This window comes from Homo sapiens, chromosome 6, assembly GCF_000001405.40.
Source record: "Homo sapiens chromosome 6, GRCh38.p14 Primary Assembly".
Lineage (NCBI taxonomy): Eukaryota > Metazoa > Chordata > Mammalia > Primates > Hominidae > Homo > Homo sapiens.
In genome coordinates, this window is record NC_000006.12 from 151,355,519 (window position 1) to 151,364,114 (window position 8,596).

Here is an 8,596-nt window from a genome sequence, read left to right on the forward strand (position 1 = left end):
TCTCGATCTCTTTACCTCATGATCTGCCCTCCTCAGCTTCACAAAGTGCTGGGATTACAGGCATGAGGCACCGCGCCCGGCCCCATCTTTGTTTTTTTAATGGAGTTAAACTATGGTATTATTAGGTCACTTTGACAACTATCCTGTTGTTAATAAATGAGAGAGAAAAAGGAGATTTTATTTACGCTGATTCTTCCTCCTCCTACAGTTAAACTCATTGTCTGTTTGGAAGACCAGAATGTGAAGACAAGTAGTAGAAGAAAATGAATGCTGCTGCTGAGACTGAAGACCAGTATTTCAGAACTTTGAGAATTGGAGAGCAGGCACATCAACTGATCTCATTTCTAGAGAGCCCCTGACAATCCTGAGGCTTCATCAGGAGCTAGAGCCATTTAACATTTCCTCTTTCCAAGACCAACCTACAATTTTCCCTTGATAACCATATAAATTCTGATTTAAGGTCCTAAATTCTTAACCTGGAACTGGAGTTGGCAATACCTAGTTCTGCTTCTGAAACTGGAGTATCATTCTTTACATATTTATATGTATGTTTTAAGTAGTCCTCCTGTATCTATTGTATATTTTTTTCTTAATGTTTAAGGAAATGTGCAGGATACTACATGCTTTTTGTATCACACAGTATATGATGGGGCATGTGCCATAGTGCAGGCTTGGGGAGCTTTAAGCCTCAGTTATATAACCCACGAAAAACAGAGCCTCCTAGATGTAACATTCCTGATCAAGGTACAATTCTTTAAAATTCACTAATGATTGAGGTCCATATTTAGTGGTACTCTGAAATTGGTCACTTTCCTATTACACGGAGTGTGCTAAAACTAAAAAGCATTTTGAAACATACAGAATGTTCTATTGTCATTGGGAAATTTTTCTTTCTAACCCAGTGGAGGTTAGAAAGAAGTTATATTCTGGTAGCAAATTAACTTTACATCCTTTTTCCTACTTGTTATGGTTGTTTGGACCGATAAGTGTGCTTAATCCTGAGGCAAAGTAGTGAATATGTTTTATATGTTATGAAGAAAAGAATTGTTGTAAGTTTTTGATTCTACTCTTATATGCTGGACTGCATTCACACATGGCATGAAATAAGTCAGGTTCTTTACAAATGGTATTTTGATAGATACTGGATTGTGTTTGTGCCATATTTGTGCCATTCTTTTAAGAACAATGTTGCAACACATTCATTTGGATAAGTTGTGATTTGACGACTGATTTAAATAAAATATTTGCTTCACTTAGATTTGCTGGTTTTATTAGATACCAGGAAGCCTGGGACATATGTGTACCACATTAGAATTCTAAAGATAATGATTGATAAGCTAGAACTTTCTGATGTAGTCATTACATGAAACCCCTTGTCACTGGTTTGTGTGTTCAGAGGAAGCCATGGCCGAGATAGCTTTCCTGAAATAAACCAGTAGCTTTTCAGATTGACGTTCTTGCTACAATTGTACCATCTGGTAATTCCTGAAAATGTCAATTTTTTTGTGTTAATATTTTTGGTTTCAAACAATAACAAATGTCTCTAGAAAGAAATTTTAAGAAAGCTTAATTAATAGTAAAAATGCCTTTCCTGAAATAATCTTGGAAAATTTTTTAAATGTCAAAATGATGAGTCATGCTAATACATTGAGGGTTTGTTTTTTTGTTTGTTTGTTTGTTTGTTTTTGAGACAGAGTTTCGCTCTTGTTGCCCAGGCTGGAGTGCAATGGCACGATCTCAGCTCACCGCAACCTCCACCTCCCGGATTCCAGCGATTCTCCTGCCTCAGCCTACATTAAGGGTTTTGTCAGACAATTGTCACACGAAGAATAGTGTCACTTATCTACTCTTGACACACAGAACTGGCCTGGCATATAGCTTTCCAGATTTTACTCAAACTTGGTACTCCAGTTTGAAAATTTAAATTTTGACTGCTGATTAGCTGGAAAGCCTAGTTTTAATGGAAAGAAAGTTTGCTTTTAAAACTGAAAGTAGTTTCTTTTTGCTAACAAATCTAACTTCATACATAATTGGCCATATTAGTAAAACACCTCATGATAGCAGTGTATATATAGTCTTGTTTGTAGTTGGAAGTCATCTTTTAGGAGTTATTCTCAAATATATATAATAGCTACCCATGCATCATTATTAAAATCCCCAAATTCAAAAAACCTCTGATATATATATATAATTTTTTTTTTTTTTTTTTTTTGGCCAACTGAGATTGAAATCCAAGTGCTGGTTTCTAGTTCTGAACATCAACTAAAGAGTTTTGGAAATGACAGCAATTTATAACAAGTTCATATTGACTTCCTCTCTATGGCAGGAAGACATTCTGTGCTGTTTTGAACAGATTAAAGATTTGTGTAGTTTGTGGGAAATTGACGTTTTTGTTTAAATTCCACCCGCGTTTGTCTTTTCCTACCACCTGTGGCCAGGTGCTCGCTGGCCATCACAGTTGCGATTCCATGAGTAGCTGCTTTATGACTGCTTTTTGTACTATCTGGATGTGCCCAGAGTTACTTCTGTACAAGCTCTGTATCTATGTCCGTTGAGAACATTATTTTAACAAGAAGAACACCAACAGTAGCATGAAATATAATACTGTTTTATAATTCTAAAGCTGCTGTTAATTTATGAAGTACATAATAATCTAATGTAAACTGCAGAAGTCAGAGCAAGTGCCTACATTTTGTTATTTTTGGCATTACTACAGAGCCATGTACAATAGAAAGCAATGCAAGACTTGTAAACTCTCACCACTTCTTGTAATATCAAATGTTCCCCCTCAGGTTATTTTGCTTATGGTACCCATGAGTTGCCTCTCTCTGTACATAGATAAATTGTTCCAATATTTTCCTTTGATGTTTGGAACTACAGATAGTCAAGGGCTGGAAATTTTAGTTTTCAATATAAGCTTCCAGCTTAGCAATTACCTCTAGTCGAAGACAATATTTGATTCCTAGTTCTGTTTGGGGCAAATTTTCATTTATCTAAATAAAATGCAATCTAATTAAATGCCATGGATTTTCTTTCTGTAATTTCACTGTGATTCAGTTTCCATTGCTTTTCTCTTGTCTGTTGTGATATTCGTCATACATTTAAGCTCTGCTTTTAACTACTTAGCACCCTTTGTTCATAGAGCATCATGAGAGTTTGGAATGAATGTATCTAGGATAGGCGTGAGTCCACAAAGATCTCTATTCATGATCATAACCTTTTTGGGTCCTGGGCTCCTTTAATTAGAATCTCATTAAGCTTCTAGCTGACCTCGGACTCCCCAATATAAAGTTTTATGTACAGTTTTTGGATAGTCACACAAACCTTCTCTGAAATGCCAACCAATAACCAGAACCAGAGTTAGAACCTCTTTCTCCAACCCTGTAAGAAAGGAAATGGACGCAGTCCAAGGATTCCCAGATAGTAGCAGAGCTCGGAACCGGAACACAAAATCAGTGTCACATAAATTCAAATCTACATGACTATTTCTTTTAAACATTTATTTGTATTTTGATTTCATATTTTGTAGAGATGGGGTCTGGCTCTGTCACACAGGCCGGAAGGCAGTGATGCCATCAGAGCTCAGTGTAACCTTGAACCCCTGGACTCAAGGGATCCTCCCATCTCCTGAGTAGCTGGGACTACAGGCATGTGCCACCATGAGATGGGGTCTTGCCATGTTGCCCAGGCTGGTCTCAAACTCCTGGGCTAAAACAATTCTGTCTCGGCCCCCCAAAGTGTATTCTATTTTTTTTTGTTTTGAAATCCTAGTCAAGAATAGAGAATTATATACATCCATGTTTAATAGAGATGGGGTTTTGGTATGTTGCTTGGGCTGGTCTCAAAATCCTGGACTCAAGCAATCCACCCACCTCAGCCTCCCAGAGTGCTCAGATAACAGGCATGCGCCACCACACCTGGCCCTATTCTTTTTTAAATGAAAGTCATACAAATTTTATTAATGTGTACCTGGGAGCCTTCAGAATGAAGACCCAAAAATGCAGGGGAAATTGTCCATTTTAATATAGGTTCAACAAAGTATGGACGTGGAGAAATATGACTGGACAAAAGGGATATGATCTAATGCTAACAGACTGAGTGGGGAAACACAGCAAGGCCTGTCTGTCTAGATTCTTCTTGGTCTCTCTGAGCACGCATTCCTTCCTTCCGGGCATGGGGCATGGGGCAGGACGCTCTCTGGAATCAGAGACTTGTGACTTCAGTTAAACAACATGACCATTTTTTTCTTTTTCTTTTTCTCTTTTTTTTTTGAGACAGAGTCTCACTCCATCACCCAGGCTAGAGTGCAGTAGTGCAATTGAGGCTCACTGCAACCTCCGCCTCCCAGGTTCAAGCAATTCTCATGCCTCAGCCTCCTGAGTAGCTGGGACTGTAGGTGCCCACCACTATGCCCAGCTAATTTTTGCATTTTTAGTAGAGACGGAGTTTTTCCATGTTAGCCAAGCTAGTCTTGAACTGGCATCAACTGATCACCCGCCACAGCCTCCCAAAGTGCTGGAATTAGAGGCATGAGCCACTGTGCCCGGCCATGACTATTCATTTCTTTTTTTTTTTTTTTCAAGACGGAGTCTTACTCTGTCACCCAGGCTGGAGTGCAGTGGTGCGATCTCGGCTCACTGCAACCTCCGCCTACCGGGTTCATGCCATTCTCCTGCCTCAGCCTCCCGAGTAGCTGGGACTACAGGCGCCTGCCACCATGCCTGGCTAATTTTTTTATTTTTAGTAGAGACGGGGTTTCACCGTGTTAGCCAGGATGATCTTGATCTCCTGACCTTGTGATCCACCCGCCTTGGCCTCCCAGAGTGCTGGGATTACAGGCGTGAGCCACCGTGCCTGGCCGACTATTCATTTCTAATGAGATTCTGGAAATGGATCTGCTGGTCACAGACAACCTGGTATAACTTTGATACAAATGCGAGCTTCTCCTAACAGATTGCTTATTGTCTCCAACCTATATAATTGGAATTAGGAAAACAAGCTGAGCCCTTCTTTTAATATGAGAAAGCTGAGACTTTGAAGTGATAACACAGGTTGGGCTAAGCTAACCAGGATCTGAAGATAGCATGGTGGTGAAAATCATCATGATTTATTTATTTGAGAAAGGGTCTCACTCTATCACCCAGGCTGGAGTGCAGTCATGCAATCGTGGCTCACTGCAGCCTCAACCTCCTTGGCTCAAGCAATCCTCCCACCTCAGCCTCTACAACACCCACAGGTGTGCCCCACCATGCCCAGATAATTTTTTATATTTTGTAAAGACGGGGTCTCCCTATGTTGCTTAGGCTAGTGGTCTCCAACTCCTGGACTCTAGCCATCCTCCTGCCTTAGGCTCCCAAAGTGTTGGGATTACAGGTGTGAGACATCTTTACTGTAGTATTCTACAGTTATGAGTGAGGTCTTCTTGCAACTGTGCATATTCTTCTTCTATCACCTGTCGACATTAAAAGTTTTAACAGGAGAAGGGTAGTTTAACATGTAACCTTCAAGAGAGGCTTCACTGAGTATAACACCTATGTTTAGAGACCAGAGGTAGAATAACAATACCTAAATGATGAAATGAGGACCTAAGTCTAATGTGCCCACAAAAGAATATTGAGTACTAAAGCCCAGTGCTTAGTCTTAACCCTGTGTTTTTTTATTTGTTTTAATAATCTCAAATAACTAGGTATAATTAATGAACAAAGAGGCAATACTCTAAATAAGGCTAATTTTAAAACCACATTGTGCTTGATTCTACTTATCCCTGTGACCCTCAGGGGCTTACCTAATTCTTGGAAAAGTAGATGGAATTGCCTCTAGAATCTGAAATCTAAACATAACTAGGGTCCTTCTTAAAGACTATAGAAATAATACTGCAGAGATGGCCAGGGGGCCATTTCAAGATATGAGATTTATCCTACAAAGTCATTGAAATAGTTTGGCAGGGAAAAGATGCAATCCTCTTACCGTAGTGATCCGCAGTGTTGGGCTAGTGAAAGGTCCCACTCTCCACCCTGGTTTGTGCTGCCACGTGTCTGGTTACCACAACGGCTAGGATGTTACGGTATGTAATGAGTTACGGCCACAGATGTTTGACATCCTGCATGGCACAGAAAAACCCTGCATAAGACAGATGTTTCTACCTAAAATGTCAGTGGCATCTATCTTGCAGAGAATTGAGGCCTGGAGGTTGAGAGGAGGTCAGTTTACATGCTGTTAGAATAATCCAGGCAAGCTGGGTGTGGTGGGATGCAGCTGTAGTCCCAGGTAGGAGGCTGAGGTGGGAGGATCGCTTGAGCCTAGGAGTTCAAGATCAGCCTAACCAACACAGGGAGACTCCTGTCTCTTAAAAAAAAATAAAAAATACAATTAATAAAAGTTTAAAAAAAGAGAATAATCCAGACAAGAACTGATAATGGCCTATATTAAAGTAGGTGCAGTTTGGCTGGAGATCCGTGGGTGAGATCAAGAGCTGTTAGGAGGCAGATCGACAGGGCACGGTACCTGATTATCTTCTGTGGGAACTGTGGGGTGAAGAATGAAGTTTCTAGATTGCCAACCTGGATGTGGAGGCACATACTGACATGAGCGTGGAGGCAATTTGAGAAACCTAAGAGATATCCAAGAGTCAGTGGAGTTGGCAGCTCAGTATATGGGTCTCACAAACAATTCGGGACAGAGAGACAACTCTTTTGCCTCCTCTGTGTCCTTAGAAACACATAGAAGACAATCTACAAGATGCTTGCATCGCTTCTTAATAGCTCATGTGCAAACTTCAGCTTGGTGACTGAGAAAGAGTTCACCTGCCCTGTCTCAGCCATTCCTCATTTCAGAATGTGTAACTAAAGACTGTTCTTCACAAGATTTTCCCATTGTGAAAGTGCTTTATAAACGAGGAAGCAAATGTACCGTAAAGCATTAATATCGGTAACTGCAAGAGAAAGACAGATTTTGATAAAACTTTCCTCCAGAAGCAACTTAGTGACTGCTGATGACTGCTACTGTCTCCCTGAATATTTTGGTAGATTCAGAATAATGGGACTGATCTTCCCTAAAATGGCGCAAGACGGCCGGGCGCGGTGGCTCACGTCTGTAATCCCAGCACTTTGGGAGGCCAAGGTGGGTGGATCACCTGAGGTCAGGAGTTTGAGACCAGCTTGACCAACATGGAGAAACCCCATCTCTACTAAAAATACAAAATTAGCCGGGCGTGATGACGCACGCCTGTAATCCCAGCTCCTCGGGAAGCTGAGGCAGGAGAATCGCTTGAACCCGGGAGGCGGAGGTCGCAGTGAGCCGAGATCGGACCTTTGCACTCCAGCCTGGGCAACAAGAGCGAAACTCTGTCTCAAAACAAACAAACAAACAAACAAACAAAAACTGCACAAGTCTACATTGTATTCAGACATGCTCTTATTTAGAAGCTAAAGTCTACTTTGTGTGTGATACACATTCCTTTCCTCTCCCTGTTGCCTTTTGGGCATTGTTGCCTGCTAGCACATCTCCAGAGGGAGGGACGGAGGGACAAGTGGGGAGGAGGGACTGGAGTTGCGAGAGGGTCAAACCTGCAGTCTCTTCCCGGTCACTCCTGTCTCCCCAGGTTGTGTATGTTTCAGTATCTTGGCTCTCTCTGGCTGGCTGCTTTCAGACCTTTCCTTGTGGGTATCTCTTATCTAACTGGAAAGAGAAAAAAATTCTTTAGTCCATTTTCATTTGTTAAAAAAAAAAAAGACAGAAAAAAAAATAGAAACGGCAAAACACTAGGAAGAGTTTCTTACACAGTGTGATGGTATTTTTGAGACAGAGTCTTGCTCTGTCACCCAGGCTGGAGTGCAGTGGCACAATCTCGGCTCATTGCAACATCTGCCTCCCAGATTCAAGCGATTCTTGTGCTTCAGCCTCCTGAGTAGCTGGGATTACCGGCGTGCACCACCATGCCCAGCTAATTTTTGTATTTTTAGTAGAGATAGGGTTTCACCATGTTAGCCAGGCTGGTCTCAAAAATAAAATAAAATAAAAAGTTGGGGCAAGATGATCACAGCATCTTCAGAGAGTTCACTCATTTGATTCTCACAATCTTATGACCCAAAGCGGTTTTCAACATCTTCATTTTATAAGCATGGAAAATGCCACTCAGGTTAGAGCAATTGCCCAAAGTTCTGCAGACGAGAAGACACAGCAAGAAAACGACTCCTTGCCAGGCGCGGTGGCTCACGCCTGTAATCCCAGCACTTTGGGAGGCTGAGGCAGGTGGATACCTGAGGTCAGAAGTTCGAGACCAGCCTGACCAACATGGTGAAACCCTGTCTCTACTAAAAAATACAAAAATTAGCCTGGCATGGTGGCAGGCGCCTGTAATCCCAGCTACTCAGGAGGCTGAGGCAGGAGAATCTCTTGAATACGGGAGGTGGAGGTTGCAGTGAGCGGAGATCACGCCATTGCACTCCAGCCTGGGCAACAGAGCAAGACTCCATCTCAAAAAAAAAAAAAAAAAAAAAAAAAAAGAGAAAACGACTTCTCAAGCACTGCTCCACTACACATCCCCTTCCTGTATCTCTTTGGGTAGACAAAGACGCAGAGATGACATGACATCATA

General features: G+C 41.5%; 1 protein-coding gene across 5 annotated transcripts in view; it reads left to right on the plus strand.

Annotated features, from left to right (window-relative positions):
- The window catches only part of AKAP12 (A-kinase anchoring protein 12), a 118,593-nt gene extending 115,552 nt beyond the window's left edge, over positions 1 to 3,041 (plus strand). For all 5 annotated transcript variants that reach the window (NM_005100.4, XM_017011517.3, NM_144497.2 and 2 more), the window contains one exon: positions 209 to 3,041. The gene's annotated coding sequence lies outside the window, so the exon portion shown is untranslated. The remainder of the gene's footprint in view (positions 1 to 208) is intronic.